At 43.9% G+C, this 16,039-nt stretch overlaps 1 protein-coding gene and 1 long non-coding RNA gene across 23 annotated transcripts in view, besides 3 other annotated features; both read right to left on the bottom strand.

The window, feature by feature from the left end:
• The window catches only part of TMX2-CTNND1 (TMX2-CTNND1 readthrough (NMD candidate)), a 106,658-nt gene that overhangs the window by 21,892 nt on the left and 68,727 nt on the right, over positions 1-16,039 (bottom strand). Inside the window, 5 exon segments of the long non-coding RNA NR_037646.1 lie at positions 297-832; positions 1,560-1,712; positions 3,208-3,279; positions 5,616-5,904; positions 8,134-8,252. This is a non-coding gene — a long non-coding RNA (TMX2-CTNND1 readthrough (NMD candidate)).
• The window catches only part of CTNND1 (catenin delta 1), a 57,739-nt gene that overhangs the window by 22,252 nt on the left and 19,448 nt on the right, over positions 1-16,039 (bottom strand). For 7 of the 22 annotated variants that reach the window (NM_001085467.2, NM_001206890.2, NM_001085463.2 and 4 more), the window contains exons 2-4: positions 3,208-3,279; positions 1,560-1,712; positions 297-832 (exon numbers count right to left, since the gene is read on the bottom strand). In NM_001085467.2, coding sequence (NP_001078936.1) covers positions 297-832; positions 1,560-1,676 — 653 coding nt within the window. In that variant the 5' untranslated portion in view covers positions 1,677-1,712; positions 3,208-3,279. Of the gene's footprint in view, positions 1-296; positions 833-1,559; positions 1,713-3,207; positions 3,280-5,615; positions 5,905-8,133; positions 8,253-16,039 lie in introns of all 22 variants that reach the window. The other 15 variants (NM_001085458.2, NM_001206885.2, NM_001085459.2 and 12 more) reach the window with 5 other exon arrangements.
• Positions 4,718-5,012: an enhancer, noted in NCBI's record as "tiled region #6223; HepG2 Activating non-DNase unmatched - State 14:Gen5', and K562 Activating DNase unmatched - State 5:Enh". NCBI's record gives its function as "activates a minimal TATA promoter and a strong SV40 promoter by Sharpr-MPRA in HepG2 and K562 cells {active_cell/tissue: HepG2 | K562}" and the evidence as "EXISTENCE:reporter gene assay evidence [ECO:0000049][PMID:27701403]".
• Positions 8,567-8,746: an enhancer, noted in NCBI's record as "active region_4732". NCBI's record gives its function as "activates an Ori minimal core promoter by ATAC-STARR-seq in GM12878 lymphoblastoid cells {active_cell/tissue: GM12878}" and the evidence as "EXISTENCE:reporter gene assay evidence [ECO:0000049][PMID:35858748]".
• Positions 12,533-13,033: an enhancer, noted in NCBI's record as "H3K4me1 hESC enhancer chr11:57551728-57552228 (GRCh37/hg19 assembly coordinates)". NCBI's record gives its function as "activates a minimal SCP1, AML or CMV promoter by ChIP-STARR-seq in naive H9 embryonic stem cells {active_cell/tissue: H9 hESC(naive)}" and the evidence as "EXISTENCE:reporter gene assay evidence [ECO:0000049][PMID:30033119]".

The following is a 16,039-nucleotide window of genomic DNA, read 5'->3' as shown; positions in this document are numbered from 1 at the left end:
CCTGTACTCCAGCATGGGTGAAAGAGCAAGACTCTGTCTCAAAAAAATAAAAAATAAAATTATATTATTTTCATTTAAAAAATTATATATATATTTATATTATATATATATAGCAAGTCAATACTAAGCCAAGTCAGAAAAGGGAAAAACAGGGTAGCTTTTCACCCCAAAAAAAAGCAGAGGGGAGGAGGCCACGAGTATCTCTGATCCCAAAAAGCCCCTAGAAGTTGAAGGAAAAGCTACCCCTTGTCCCTGGTCTTGGAAAGACCCTTTTCTCTTCCCCTATTCTTGCCTACCTGAGGCGCCGACGAGGGTCAGAGGGTGTCCCAGTCCGACGGGCAGTGCCATAATCAGACATCATACCATAATCCAGGTCATCATAGCCCATACTACGCTGGTCATCCTCTAGCCCATAAGGCTCTGGATGAAAGCGATGCAGATCCACGCTGCTCCCACCTACCCGAACCTGGGGTTGGGGCCCATACACATCCTGTCTACTAGGTGCCCGGTAGCCTTCCATGCTGGGCCTATACCGCTCCTCAATGCGGGTCACCCGGGACAGACTGCCATAGTTATCACTGCCACCTGGATAACCATCTTCATAGTGGCGACTATAACCATCAGGAGGGTAGTGGAAGTTCCTAGGAAGGGTAGCAGTGCCAGCTTGCCCCACATAGGGACCAGGTCCCCCATTGCCATTCTTGCGGAAATCACGACCCAAAGTCTGGATATAGTTGTTAGAAACTGATGAAGCATCCACAGGCAACCCGTCTGGTCCCATAGCGACTGGCTGTACTGTCCGTGTTGTCACAGTCTTCACTACTTTCTTGACCTGCAAGTAGGAAACAAGAAAAAGAAAAACTAATTAAGGAAGTGAGCAATTAAATTCTTTTTTTTTTTTTGAGATGGAGTCTTGCACTGTTGCCCTGGCTGGAGTGCAATGGCGTGATCTCGGCTCACCTGCAACCTCTGCCTCCCAGGTTCACGCAATTCTCCTGCCTCAGCCTCCCGAGTAGCTGGTATTACAGGCACACACCACCACACCTGGCTAATTTTTTGTATTTTTAGTAGAGACGGGGTTTCACTATGTTGCCCAGACTGGTCTCAAACTCCTGACCTCGTGATCCGCCCACCTCAGCCTCCCACAGGGCTGGGATTACAAGCGTGACCCACCGCGCCCAGCCATGAACAATTAAATTCTATACCACTCCAAAAGAAACAAATCTTTATATCCCTAGGTCACTTTACCTAGGAATGCCTTAAAGCCTACCATCTATCTTTCTTTCCATCCTATAGGAAGTCCCCAAGCAGGAAAATTGCCCTGACAGTAACTATGCTTATAAGGGAAGCTACTATAGACCCTGATATACCTTCTGTCTTCCCTATCCCATAAGATTTTCCCATCTCTTCATCCTTTCTATCTGGCCAGAGATCACTTCATGCAATCAGATCAATAATGGCATATCAGTCCTCCATCTTAATTAAGTGCTTAACCCCTCCCCTAATAGAGAAGAAAAGACCTCTTATCACTTCCAGATCTTACACACGTCTTAGTTTACCGTGGTCTCTGTGCGCCGAGTGGTCCCATCATCTGAGGTCTCCACAGAGACTACAGACATGGCTCCCTCAGGATCCTCCTCCGTGTAGGTCTCCACAATCTGCCCCGGCTCCTGCATCCTGGGGATGGTGCTATATAGAAGGTGACTGTGATCCTATATGCAAAAGAGAAAAGAGAAGAAACTACTATTAAGTGCTATGTATAACAAGCCATCCTAATAAGAAGCATAAGTGGTAAACCTGGAGACAGGGACTCCTCATGCATCTTCTATAGGCCTCAGGATTTTTAGATGGGTGGCTGTCATCTTTTGAACTTGTACAAAAGGACAGTAGACATAATTTCCCAGTTGTAGTCATTTAACAAACATGAACTAACTATAGCCACATCAACATCCAAGTGACAGACAGTAGATTTAACTTCCCAGCTGTGGTCATCTAAGTGAACATGAACTGTGTTAAATGCAGTTTCATCTATATCTGAGTGATCCCTCAAAAGAGCAGCTCACCCAATAAATAAATAACTTGTATTTATTTACTTGAGATAGGGTCTCACTCTATCACCCAAGCTAGAGTGCAGTGGCATGATCATAGCTCACTGGAGCCCCAACCTCCCAGGCTCAAGCAATCTTGCCATTTCAGCCTCCTGAGTAGCTAGAACTACAGGCTCACGCCACCATGCCTGGCTAATTTTATTTTTTTTGTAGAGACAGGGTCTATGTTGCCCAGGCTGGTCTTGAACTCCTGGGCTCAAGCAATCCTCCAGCCTCAGCCTCCCAAAGTGCTGGAATTACAGGAATGAGCAAACCACGCCTGGCCAAAATAAAGAACTTTGTTTTTTTTTTTTTTTTGAGACGGAGTTTTGCTCTGCCTTGGCCTCCCAAAGTGTTGGATTACAGGCATGAGACACCGTGCCCAGTCTAAAATAAAGAACTTTTTTTTTTTTTTTGAGACAGAGTTTTGCTCTTGTTGCCCAGGCTGGAGTACAATGGCATGATCTCAGCTCACCACAATCTCCGCCACCTGGTTTCAAGCAATTCTCCTGCCTCAGCCTCCCGAGTAGCTGGGATTACAGGCATGTGCCACCACGCCTGACTAATTTTGTATTTTCAGTAGAGACGGGGTTTCTCCATGTTGGTCAGGCTGGTCTCCAACTCCCGACCTGAGGTGATCTGCCCACCTCAGCCTCCCAAAGTGCTGGGATTACAGGCATGAGCCACCATGCCTGGCCAAAAATAAAGAACTTTTAAGACAAACCTGAAAATCCCAGTAAGAGCCATCTTTTGACTGGCTTTATGTTACTCTTCAGATACCGTCTAAAAGGCTCAAGACCAGCCAGATTTTAGGTAGGGTTTTTTGCTGCAAAGTAGAAGCCTACTGTCTCTAGAAAAGAAACGCAGTACTTAGGGATCAAATGGGGTGGCAGTGGGGAGGAGGAATAGTCATAAAGATCAATGGTCATTAAAATTCATTCCAAAACAAAACTGCATATATACTTTGGAGCTCCACTTCTTTGTTTTCGTAAATAAAAGAAACTAATTGACGAGTATGTACAATGTGCCAGGCACCTTACAAGACACAAATATGCTCTTATAGGCTGGGGAAATAAGAAAATATGAATGAAGCAACCCAGGTCTTGAGCCAAAGAATTACCTGGGGTCCGTTGAGTTTCAAATCTGAAAATTTCTGTCTTTCAAGGTCAGCATCGCCCACAAACCGGCCGTTCTGAAACACAGCCCACAAGAAGACAATTCATTTTGTGGCCTTCTTTTGCTCTATCAAATACAAACGATCTTTTTTTCAAACAGGAAAAGGGCTTTCAAGAAGATATGTGTGGCCTGGAGTCCTTGTGTCAGTACTCATAAAAGAACCATTCACTCTTTAGTCTTAGCACTTTCCTCAAAATTGAAAATCAGGCCTGGAACTCTGGCAGACAGGGTCTCTGGAACATAAGAACGTAAACTCCACGAGGGCAGAGGGTTTTTTGGGATAAGTTTAGTTTAGTCTAGTGCCTTGAACAGTGCCTGGCACATAACAGGTGCTCAAAAACTATTTGCTGAATAAACAGCACAGACCTAGATAATTTCCCTTACATGCAACCTTTTTGGAAAGCCATAAAAATGTAAGGAAAGTTGGAAGGGCTAAGTTGGGGGGTTTCCAAAGAGCTTTATAGTCTCATGAATCTTCATGCAGTACTACCACTGGAAACTCCCATTCCAGGCAGCTTTTTAAAGAAAGAAGCAAGATGGCTATCATGTCCTAATGTAAAAAACAGAAATTTAATTAAAGAAAAAAGCAAGAGATACGAGTCTCCCTTTCCAAGTACAAAAACAAGCACCCCAACTCCCCTCAAGAAAACAGAAGGCTCAATATCTTTACCAACAATTATTAGAGCCACAGAATACATTCCAAAATGTCATCCAGAAGTTGCTCTGTCTTAAGCAGCAGGAAATAATCTAATGACATTATACCACATAAAAATATATTTGCCTGCTCCTCTTCCAGTAGAATAGTGAGATCCAACCACCTTGGGAGACTCTTCCTCCACCCCACTCCCATTACATAGAGTGTAATGCTGCAGGGAGAGGAAGTTAAACATTACTTTCAGGAAGAAGGAAGGGTGTGGTTTTACTGCTAAGCAGAAGTTAAAAATAAGAGAGCAACCACATACTGAATCCTGGAATTCCCCATGACCTCCAAACCTGAGCAGTCCAGCTTTCTCCTTTCAATATAATTTCATCCCTAACTTTCTATTGTAGTTCCTGTAAAAATCCTAGGAACACTGCAAGCATGCTGCCTCCCTCAAATTCCTTGATCCTCCAACTGGAATTCTGTTCTCTCTCAACTGCAAGGCTCCTCAGTATGAGGGACTTTCTCTATCTTAAAAAAAAAAAAAAAAAAATCACTCAGCCGGGTGCAGTAGCTCACGCGTAATCCCAGTACTTTGGGAGGCCGAGGCAGGTGGATCACGAGGTCAAGAGATCGAGACCATCCTGGCCAACATGGTGAAACCCCATTTCTACTAAAACTACAAAAATTGGCTGGGTGTGGTGGCACACGCCTGTAGTCCCAGCTACTCAGGAGGCTGAGGCAGGAGAATTGCTTGAACCCGGGAGGCGAACGTTGCAGTGAGCCAAGATTGCACCACTGCACTCCTATTTAAATAAATAAATAAAAATTACTCAATGAAAAGGACTATCAGGGCATGAGTACTGTTCTGGTTCCCACTCAGAGATCTCTCGTAAGATGCAATCTATCAGGCAATGTCTACCACACACACACATGCGCGAGTGCGCGCGCACACACGCACACACACACAGAGGAAGACAGACAAAACCTCAGACAGATTACATCACAGCAAAGTCAGACTAGAAAAACCAGAGGAAACACAAGATACTTCTCATTTCTAACACCAACTCTCCCAAGTCACATCACAGAGTCAGCCAACCCAGAGACCACTGGCTCCTGTGGTTATTTGGGTTAAACAGCAGCATGATGCTCCCTCTCCAACTCTAACCAACAGAATTAACAATGACCCCTTCCTCCAACACATGATTTACACAGCCAACAAAAAGAGCACACAAGGACAATATGGAGCAGGAGTACACAATTTATGGATACTGCCACACCTGGGTACAGACTGTTCCCTCAGGGAGACTGAACTAGGGCTGAGAGCACAAGATGCCCAACCATTAAGTGGGCATTTACTTTCCTGATTTTTTGATACCAAGAAAAAAAAATCAGAAAAGAAAAGTAACTTGAGTACAGCTGCAAACTAAACTATCTACCATTACTAGAATTGTAGCCCACCCCAAAAAACCTACTCCAGCAAAACAGGAAGTCAGATGGATGCTTCTAGAGATAGTAACTGCACCCAGCTCAGTCCAGCAGCAATATTCCTTGTCTCTTATCAGCATTTAACACCCCTGGAAAAAAATCCCTGGAAGAACGGGCACTGGACAGCCCATCACCAAAAGGAGAGTAGCTTCCCAAAAAGGATCATAGCCTCTCTGTGACCATGCCAAAGTCCTACCTGCACGTCTGATGGAGAGAGGGGTTACCTGATGCCGGCGGGTGAGTGTGCCGTTGGCCATGAGTGGGTTGGCATCTTGTGGTGAGACCCGGACGCGTTCCAGCTGCGCCGAGACGTGGCGCCGTTCCTCCTCCAGCGCCCGGGTCAGCTTCTCAAACTGGGCCTCTTGTTCCTTCACAGAGGCCAAGATGCTGGCGGTCGACTCCACCTCTGAGTCGTCCATGAAGGTAAGGGGCGGAGCCGCCGCAGGGCAGGGTAAAAAGGAAGGTGAATCACAGAGGAAGGAGAAGGAGGGAGAGAGACCCCCTCACTTCACACTACCGGGAAAGGGTAAGAGAAAGGAGAGAAAAGGTCACAGGTCAGAGAAGACAGATGAATTATTAATCCCAGAGCCAAAGATGCCCTCTCGTGGTTTTACTGCAGTGCAGAAAGCAAGCCACCGCCAAGCCTGGGAGCCCATCACCAGTGTCTGTTCAAGCGGAATCCTTTGCCCACTAGCTTTCTTCAACATCCCACCAGAAATAACTATTGAAAGGAAAGGTGCAATTAAATCTAAGTCTCTACACTGTTAGGAGAGGGAGAATGTGGTGAGGTGCTGTAGTTATGAGATTGGATTATTTTTCCCTGAAAAAAATCTGCTGGTATCAACTCAATGAAATGTGTAACTCCAATGGTACAGACAAGCATTCACTATCCTGCAGGGACAAGCCACTTTTAGAGATAATAGGGCAATACAGATCTTACTTAACCTCTCCCACATCTAAACACTAAAACTGCTGAAGTGGCAGCAAATTAAAAAAAAAAAATTACTATGCTAAACTAAATGCCAATTAAGAAATGAAAAGGCCGGGCACTGTGGCTTACACCTGTAATCCCAGCACTTTGGGAGGCCGAAGCAGGCGGATCACGAGGTCAGAAGTTCGAGACCAGTCTGGCCAACATAGTGAAACCCTGTCTCTACTAAAAAAATACAAAAAAAGGCCGGGCGTGGTGGCGGGAGCCTGTAATTCCAGCTACTCGGGAGGCTGAGACAGGAGAATGGCGTGAACGCCGGAGGTGGAGCTTACAGTGAGCCAAGATCGCACTATTGCACTCCAGCCTAGGCGACAGTGCAAGACTCCGTCTCAAAAAAAAAAAAAAAAAAAAAAACACACACACAGACAAAATTAGCCGGGTGTGGTGGCGTACTCCTATAATCCCAGCAACTCGGGAGGCTGAGGCAGGAGAATAGCGGAGGTTGCAGTGAGCCAAGATCGCGCCATTGCACTCCAGCTGGGGCGACAATGCAAGACTCCGTCTCAAAAAAAAAAAAAAAAGAAAGAAAGAAATGAAAGTAGGTGGCTCACACCTGTAATCCCAGCACTTTACGAGGCCGAGGTGGGTGGATCACTTGAGGTCAGGTTCAGTTGGTCAAGACCAGCCTGGCCAACATGGGGAAACCTTATCTCTACTAAAAATACAAAAATTAGCCAGGCATGGTGGTAGGCACCTGTAATCCCAGCCGAGGCATGAGAATTGCGTGAACCCAGGAGACGGAGAGTGTAGTGAGCCGAGATGGCACCGCTGCACTCCAGGCTGGACAACAGAGTGAGACTCTGCCTCCAAAAATATAATAATACATTCATAAAAGGGCGTTTCTACTTTCCAAACTATACTACTATAGTTTGTTAAATATTATATTGATGGCAAAACGTGTTCCTTGACTAATGGAGACAACAGAGTAACAGAACCACAAAAAACTCTACATGTAAAAAAGCACTGTCTTCAGGAAACTTCACCTCCTTGGGAAGTAGGAAAAGGAGTATTAGCCTCAACCTCTGAAAGTGCACCTCACAGTAGTTCATATCCTAACCTCCACACGTCAATGGCTGGAAGTTCCCACATCTCTGTAATCCTGCAGAAACCTCTAACTCAAGCTTGTCCAACCCTTGGCCCGCGGGACGCATGCAGCCCAGGACAGCTTTGAATGCGGCCCAACACAAATTTGTAAACTTTCTTGAAACATTATGAGATTTTTTTTTTTGCAATTCTTTTTTAGCTCATTGGCTATCCTTAGCGTACATTATGTATGGCCCAACACAATTCTTCTTCCACTGTAGCCCAGGGAAGCCAAAAGATTGGACACTCTTGTTTTAAATAGACTATCTTTTTACCCTTTTATTTGTTCCAACTCAGGATAAATATCCAAGTATCTAGAGGGTCTATGTGTGCTATCTATACAATAAAAGATAGTTATATAAAAATGAAGAGTTCTCCATACCATTATATAAACAGGAGGTTTTACAGGCATTAGTGATACTCTGTTGGACTCAATGGGTTTTTTTCTCTCTTATAGCTATGAAAGACTTTATGCCAGTCCAAAATATACAATGTTGAAAGACAGGTTTTGAAATAAATATTCTCCCCAATTCCCACCCTCTCACCAACCCATAAAGAAAAAAGGTATTTAAAAAGATTTTTTTCTGCTATGACATGAAAGGAATAAAAATACATATTTCTTAAAAAGTAAGATTTTTCCTTCTTAATAAACATATTTCCATACACACCTGTTAAGAGAAGGTCGCAACTGATTGGTTTAACACAGAGAACAGCCCAGTCTAGATTCAAAAAATCATGGAAGAAGCATCCCAGCCACCACAGCAAGGAGGAAGCAGGAAGGAGAGAGCTGCAGAAATATTTGAAGGAAAAATGGGAATGAGAGGAAAATAAAATATACCCAATACATAAAAACAAGAAGAGCAAGGGGCAATATTAGGAATGAAAGGAAGTAATTTAAAATATGACTTGGAATTGCTTAATGTGACAAGTGCCCTTTAGACCTTGTTGTGTTCAGATACCTAGGCCTTGGATGTCATTTTCATTAAAACCTGGATTCTACTGTCAAGTGAGAGCTCCTCTATTTGTATTTCCATATATAACCAGGAACAGGTTATAATATGTATAAAAATCCATTTACCCTGTTTCCAGCAACCAAATTGGGGAAAAAGAAAAAAACTGCTGTTGGAATGCCCTTCCCCCTCCCTTCCCACCCCTAAGGCAGAAACCTCAAAGCCCAGTCCCAGCATGCCCACAAAGACATTGAGAAACCAATGCAAAAGTTGTGTGGGGAAGACATGTGGGGACTAGCCTAGGCTGAGCCTTTTGCTTCAGTTCCCTTTCCCACGCTCCCCAGAGCCCCACCAAGCACAAATGCCCGGGCCTGTTTGGCTTAGAGTGTATGCAGAAGTCAGCAAGCAAGAGTACCCAAAGGAACTGATAAGTAAGTGTCCAATAAACTCCTGAATCAATCCAGTCCCTAAGTTTAAAGAACGTGGTTGCCCTTCCCTAAATTCCTCCTACCCCAGCTCGAAGTTCCCATAATCGCCTATCAACTCTTCTTCCTTTCAGTCCAAAACCCATTGCCACTTTCTCATATTCCCACCCTACATTCCAACAGGCCACTCAAAGGTCTTTCTTGAATAAGCACCCTTATTTTAAAAAAAAAGGTGCTCCCCTTTCATCTCCATTTCTTAAGTACTTGCCCTTATCCACTATGTACAATGACCTATGAACCTTCCACACCAAGAGGACTCTGAGCTCAAAAAGAGATTCTTCCAGTTACTGAATTTCAACAGGGTCTGAAGTGCAATTACCACTCCAGCAGCATCCACCCTATAATCTTCTTTGCTAATAAAAGCCCAAATTACTGCTACCACGGGGGATACAGTGACATTCCCTGCTGCAAAGAGAAAGTGTATAGATGGCCATAAATGGCCCTGCAACTTAAATTCAGTGAAGAAGGTTAGGAAGGGAGATAGGAAAAATACTCAGGGCTCTAGGTCAGAAAGCAGTATCTGGAGAAACATTAGCTTCCACCATCTTCACAGCTTTAAAGCTGACCACCTGGCTCTAATTTGGAAAAGAAGACAGCACAATTACACAAAAAGATCAGATTCCTAGGTCTAAAAGCATGGGGAGATATTCTGCCTGAAAAAGGACAGAAGCAGAGGCCATATGGGATAGAACACAACTCAAGAAGACTGGTCCCAGTTCTGGCTCTACTACTACCCAACAATGGCAGTAAACCCTGTCATATTCTCACTTGTAAGATGCCAAATCCATTTGCCCCGTTTCCAGGAACCAAATTGGGGAAAAAGAAAAAAAATTGCTGCTTCCCAGGAGTTAGGAAATTAGCCCGGTCTAACTCAGAGTTGTTGTGAGGATTAGGTGAGACAATGTATGTTATATACAAATGTCAGGTATTAAGTTGTTTCAAAAGTTGGTTTAACACTTCCAATTACATTACTTCACCGTAATGTCTCAGCCTCAAACTATTTTGTGAACTAGTAGATGAAATCAACTGGATCAAAAACATAACTAGGTTCTAAGGAGTGAATGGGCTGGTTTCCCTACTCCTAATCTATTTACTAGAACGTCCCACCTATACCAGTGTTTCTGGGACAAAGGACACTTCTCTAGTGCCTGGAAGTCATCACATCATTACACATCTGTCATAATAAGTTCTTGATTCTGTATTTGAGGCCTTAACAATTTATTACCTTGGAGAAAGGGAATGTGAAACTAATGATTACTGAATGTTTTACATTTACTATCTTGGCAATCCTTACAACAACCCTAAGGAAGTTTTATTGCAAATAAGACTCATGGGTGAAGAAACTACCCAAGGTCTCACAGTTAATAGCAAATTTTGAATTTAAACCCAGGTCTATGCCATTCCAAAGCCTGTGTTCTCTTTCTATGCCATGGTGTCAAGTCCAAATAGAAGTGCAGTCAGTACCAGATGGATGGTCCAGAGCCTCTCCTCTACAACCTTTGAGAGCTTTCTTCTCAACTATCACAGGAAAACAGGGAAAGAAAAGGGTTCTACTTTGTTTTTTTAGGCTCAAGAGTTACCCATAATATCTACATAGAAGTGAGAAAACAGAAAAAAAATGGGAGGAAAAGGAATGTATGAGTGGGGAAAGAATGAAGCTGTTAGGCAGGCTACAGTAAATGGTCTCATCGCTTGGAGACTTAAGGAAAAAAGATTCTTCTCATGCCATATGCATCAAAAAGATCACACTACAAACCTTCAGCTGACTTTGGCAGACAGTCAGGAGTCGTAATTACAAGTCCAGCCCAATGCCTTTCCAGCTTTGCCACTTACATTTTTTATTTATTTATTTTTTTGAGATGGAGTCTCGCTTAGTGGCCCAGGCTGGAGTGCTGTGGTGCAATCTCAGCTCACTGCAACCTCCACCTCCTGGGTTCAGGCGATTCTCCTGCCTCAGCCTCCCGAATAGCTGGGATTACAGGTGCATGACACCACACCGGGCTAATTTTTTGTATTTTTAGTGGAGACGGGGTTTCACCGTGTCAGCCAGGATGGTCTCGATCTCCTGACCTCATGATCCGCCTGCCTCAGCCTCCCATAGTGCTGGGATTACAGGCGTGAGCCACGGCAGCCGGCCTCCACTTACTTAGATTTTTAAATAGACTACATTTCCTCTCACCAAAAAAAAAAAAAAAAAATCAAAGAATTCCTGAAGTCAGGGGGTTGAGGAAACATAAAGTGAAACTTGTTATTCCCCCTTAAGACTAGATTTTCTGAGAATACCTAGTTTTACTCTCAATAAGCCATTAAGTCCTACATTACTGGATCCCACCCACACTAGAAAGATATTCCTGCTATTACCCAGAGTCCATAGTCCATAGTAAAGATCCTTCATCCAAGCAATGATAATGATAAAAACTCAGTCTCGTCTGTAAGAACTCCCAACCAAAAGAAGTTAAATTAAATCAAATACCCAGAAGGACCAAACAACTAGACAGTGCTAACCAGATAGGAGGTCCAAAAAACAAAAAAATCACTTACCGGCCGGGCGTGGTGGCTCAAGCCTGTAATCCCAGCACTTTGGGAGGCCGAGGTGAGCGGATCACAAGGTCAGGGGTTTGAGACCGGCCTGACCAACATGGTGAAACCCCGTCTCTACTAAAAATAAAAAATTAGCCAGGCTTGGTGGTGCACACCTGTAATCCCAGCTACTCAGGAGGCTGAGGCAGGAGAATCACTTGAACCCGGGAGGCGGAGGTTGCAGTGAGCCGAGATCATGCCGCTGCACTCCAGCATGGGTGACAGAGCTAGACTCAGTACCCCACACACACACACACACAAAAAAATCACCTACCAATAGCACAGTCCCTGGAATGATTTCTTCTACTGTAAACTGACTAAAGAAATACAATTTGGAATTATGATTCTTAAGAGGTTAAGTGTATAGGCTTTGTTATCTGCCTGGGTTTAAGTATAAGATCTATCCTTATTAGCTATATGACTTTGGGCAAAGTATCAACCACTCGAAACTGCAGCTTCCTTTTTTGTAAAATGGAGGAATAAAAATACACAGGGTGGTTGTGAAGATTAAATGAGGCATTTCATGTAAAGTGCTTAGAAAAATGTCTTGACGCACAGAAAGCCAGTAATATTGTTACTACTACAGGGACTAGAGCTTGGGTGTGGTTGGTGGAGTTTTTGAAGTTTGTAAACCAGCCTCCCCAGGCTCCCCTCTTTCATTTGCAGCAGACCTGAAAACTACAGGAATTATTCACTTTTAGAGGGAAAAACAAAATAAAACTCCAGATTAGGGGTCAAAAGACTGGGGGTCCAAGTCTTGGCTCCTCCAAAAACTAGCTAGGAGACCTTGGAAAAGTTATAACCCCTGTAAGCTTCCATTTCTATTACTCTTCATGGTTTAGTTTTAATGAGCTAATATATATAAAACCATAGCCTATGTGAACTCTGAAGTTCACCAATCTTTGGGTTTTTGCAAAAATAATTTTGTCTTCAGAGCCAGTCTCAAAGGCAGCTCTCCTCCTTTCTTCCTATTTATTCATTATAAAATCAAAACCAATGTCATGGCCGGGCACCACGGCTCATGCCTGTAATCACAGCACTTTAGGAGGCTGAGATGGGAGGATCACTTGAGTTCAGGAGTTCGAAACCAGCCTGGTCAACATGGTGAAACCCCATCTCTACTTAAAATACAAAAAAATTAGCCGGGCATGTTGGCACACACCTGTAATCCCAGCTATTCAGGAGGCTGAGGCAGGAGAATCACTTGAACTCAAGAGACAAAAGTTTCAGTGTGCCGAGATTGTGCCACTGCACTCCAGCCTGGATGACAGAGTAAGACTCTGTCTCAAAAACAACAACAACAAAACGAGTGTCACAAATTTATGCTCTCCATCTAAAAACAATGACAGGCAAAACTCCATTTCCATGTCGTTCTAGGGAATTTTTTTTTTTTTTTTTTGAGACAGGATCTAGCTCTTGTCGCCCTGGCTAGAGTGCAGTGGTGTGATCACAGCTCACTACAGCATGGACCTCGTGGGCTCAAGCAATCCTCTTGCCTTGGCCTCCCAAAGTGCAGGGATTACTGGCATGAGCCACTGTGCCCAGCCATTCTAGGGAATGCAAAGGGCTTTTTTCAAAAGCACACTGGGCTGGGCAAAGTGGCTCACACCTGTAATCCCAGCACTTTGGGAGGCCAAGGTGGGCAGATCACTTGAGCCCAGGAGTTTAAAGATCAGCCTGGGCAACATGGCAAAACCCCACCTCTACAAAAAAATTACAAAAATTAACTGGGCATGGTGGTGCACACTGTAGTCCCAGCTACTCAGGAGGCTGAGGTGGGAGAATTGCTTGAGTCTAGGAGGTCCAGACCACAGTGAGCCACAATCACTACATTGCCACCTGGGCGACAGAGTAAGACCCTGTCTCAAAAATAAATACGTAAATAAATAAATAAATAGCATACCAAGCCTCCTACTGCAGAATACTAATCAACAAAATATAGCACCTGTAACACTACAGAACTGTATTACATAACATTCAAGCCAGAAAGGGGCCCTTCAGATACCTAAAAGGCATTTATTTGCCTTAACTGGCACCTGACCCCAAATTTGAAGAAATATTCCGGTTCAACCACAAACAAACTTGCCATTTTGTTTCTAAATCAAAGAAATATATTTTGTCAAGATTTTCTATGGCTTTTTTTTTATTTTGAGATGGAGTCTCGCTCTGTCACCCAGGATGGAGTGCAGTGGCGCGATCTCGGCTCACTGCAAGCTCCGCCTCCCGGGTTCACAGCATTCTCCTGCCTCAGCCTCCCCAGTAGCTGGGACCACAGGCGCCCGCCAACACGCCCGGCTAATTTTTTGTATTTTTAGTAGAGACGGGGTTTCACCGTGTTAGCCAGGATGGTCTCGATCTCCTGACCTCGTGATCCACCCGCCGCGGCCTTCCAAAGTGCTGGGATTACAGGCGTGAGCCCGGCCTTTCTATGGCTTCTTATCAGTGCTTATACCAGAGTCCAAAGTCTAAGTACCCCGCCCTACCTCCACTTGATGTTCCACGTTTTTTTTTGTTTGTTTGTTTGTTTTTGAGATGGAGTCTTGCTCTGTCGCCCAGATGCAATGCCGTCATCTCGGCTCACTGCAACCTCCACCTCCCAGGTTCAAGCAATTCTCCTGCTTCAGCCTCCCAAGTAGCTGGGACTATAGGCATGTGCCACTATGCCTGGCTAATTTTTGTATTTTTAGTAGAGACACGGTTTCACCACGTTGGCCAGGCTGGTCTTGAACTCCCGACCTCAAGTGACCCACCAGCCTTGGCCTCCCAAAGTGCTGGGATTACAGGCGTGAGCCACCATGCCCAACCATGTTCCACCTTCATGCTCAGTCAGAACAGTTCTAGTATTTCTCACTTCACTGGGAAGACTCATCTTCTGTTAATTCCAAGTCCCTGAAGCTGATTTGCGTTAAGATTAAAAGGACTGTGCTCACTTCACAATCTCAACTGAGCACTACTCAAGTCACAAAACCTGTATTATTCTGGATATGGCCTTCTCCTAGTGTTCACTCTTTCTATGCTTCCTCATGGATCTGCTTCCTGCTAGGCCCAACTTCTCCATTTAGAAGTGTTAAATCAAGTTTAGCCTAGGCAAGTTTATGCCTCCTTACATCTTTTAAGTTTGGCCTAAAGATTTATCTGTACATAATGAACTATAACCTAAATGGTGGTAGAAATAGACTGTAACCTACTCTTGTGCCAATCACTGAGTTTTGGCCACTCAAAGGGGGCCAACTGTTCCAGCTGAGCCATAACCAATCCAGCTGTTTCTGTACCTCACTTCCATTTTTTGTTCATCACTTTCCTTTTTCTGTCCATAAATCTTCTACCACGTCTGCACTGGAGTCTCTGAGCCTACTGTGGCTCAGAAGGCTCCCCAATTAGTGAACTGTTCTTTGTTCAATTAAACACTGTTAAATTTAATTTAGTTAAGGATTTTATTTTAAAAGAGGGTAAAAGGCTGACCAAAGAAGTCTTATTTTCATGAGGAAAAACTAGGTGTCCACCAGGAATCTCTCTGATGAATTAAGGAAGGCTCTGGGCAGACCACCCTCCTCTTAGGAAAGAGTGATACATTCTCTCTGATTGGAACGTCAGAGAAAAGAATTTTTTAAAAAACAAAGATATAAACAAGATAATACTCCTTGTTAAAAGGAATTTGAGCTGGCAACCTCTATACATCAACAGGGTACCTTAAACTCCCTTTAGTCTTATAATCCTTACCCAAAGCTACCTGTCAATATTTAAAGTTTTTACTGCAACTTAAAAAAAAAAAAATCACCTCCACCATCATGACCTCCTAAATTCTGAGACCAAATAAAACATTCTTCTTTTTCTCTCTTTTCCCCTCCCAAGTATTCTGAGAACCCCCTCTAAACCATAACATACTAAAATGGCTTAGTGCTGGGCTGGCTTTGAAGCCAAGGAAGGGTGTGGCTCTCAGCTAGTGAGGGGGCCCAGGACTGAAAGGGTACAGAAAGAAAAAAACCTGCTTCTCTGTGGAGCATGCATGACGCACACACAGGACTGGTCTAACAAGTCCTGATCTCTCAGGCCAGGCCGCCTCCTTCTCCTCCCCCATTATCCATGTGCCTCTCCAAGGCCCTCCACTGGGACAGTTCACACTGAGTTTTCTCTAATCCTGAGAAGAGACTGAGTTACTTACCTGGATCCCTGTGCAACCTTGCCAAAGACACCTCACCTAGCCTTAAAAGGAGAAAGCAGGGCTTTAGGGAGAGGCCGATAAGGAAACAAAGATAAGAGGGAGGGGCAAAAAAACAGAGGAAGGTGTTAGACTAAAGGAAGGGGAGAGGCCAAATGCCTTTCTCCTTCCTACAAGAGGAGAGAGATCAGGTACACTATGAAAAATAAGAAAAAGCCTCATTGAAATGCAAAGGTATTGATTAGGTCTCATGTCATAAAAGAGAAATCCTAAAATTAACTAAGACACCTTATATCCTTCCATACCCTAGACTCGGAAAAAAAAAATATTCATGGAAAAGCTTAACCTTAGAGTTTACTAGGGGTCACCCAACTGTTTGAGCTCACATTCCTTTTTTAAA

This window comes from Homo sapiens, chromosome 11 (genome assembly GCF_000001405.40).
Source record: "Homo sapiens chromosome 11, GRCh38.p14 Primary Assembly".
NCBI lineage: Eukaryota > Metazoa > Chordata > Mammalia > Primates > Hominidae > Homo > Homo sapiens.
This window is presented reverse-complemented; position numbering and strand designations above follow the sequence as displayed.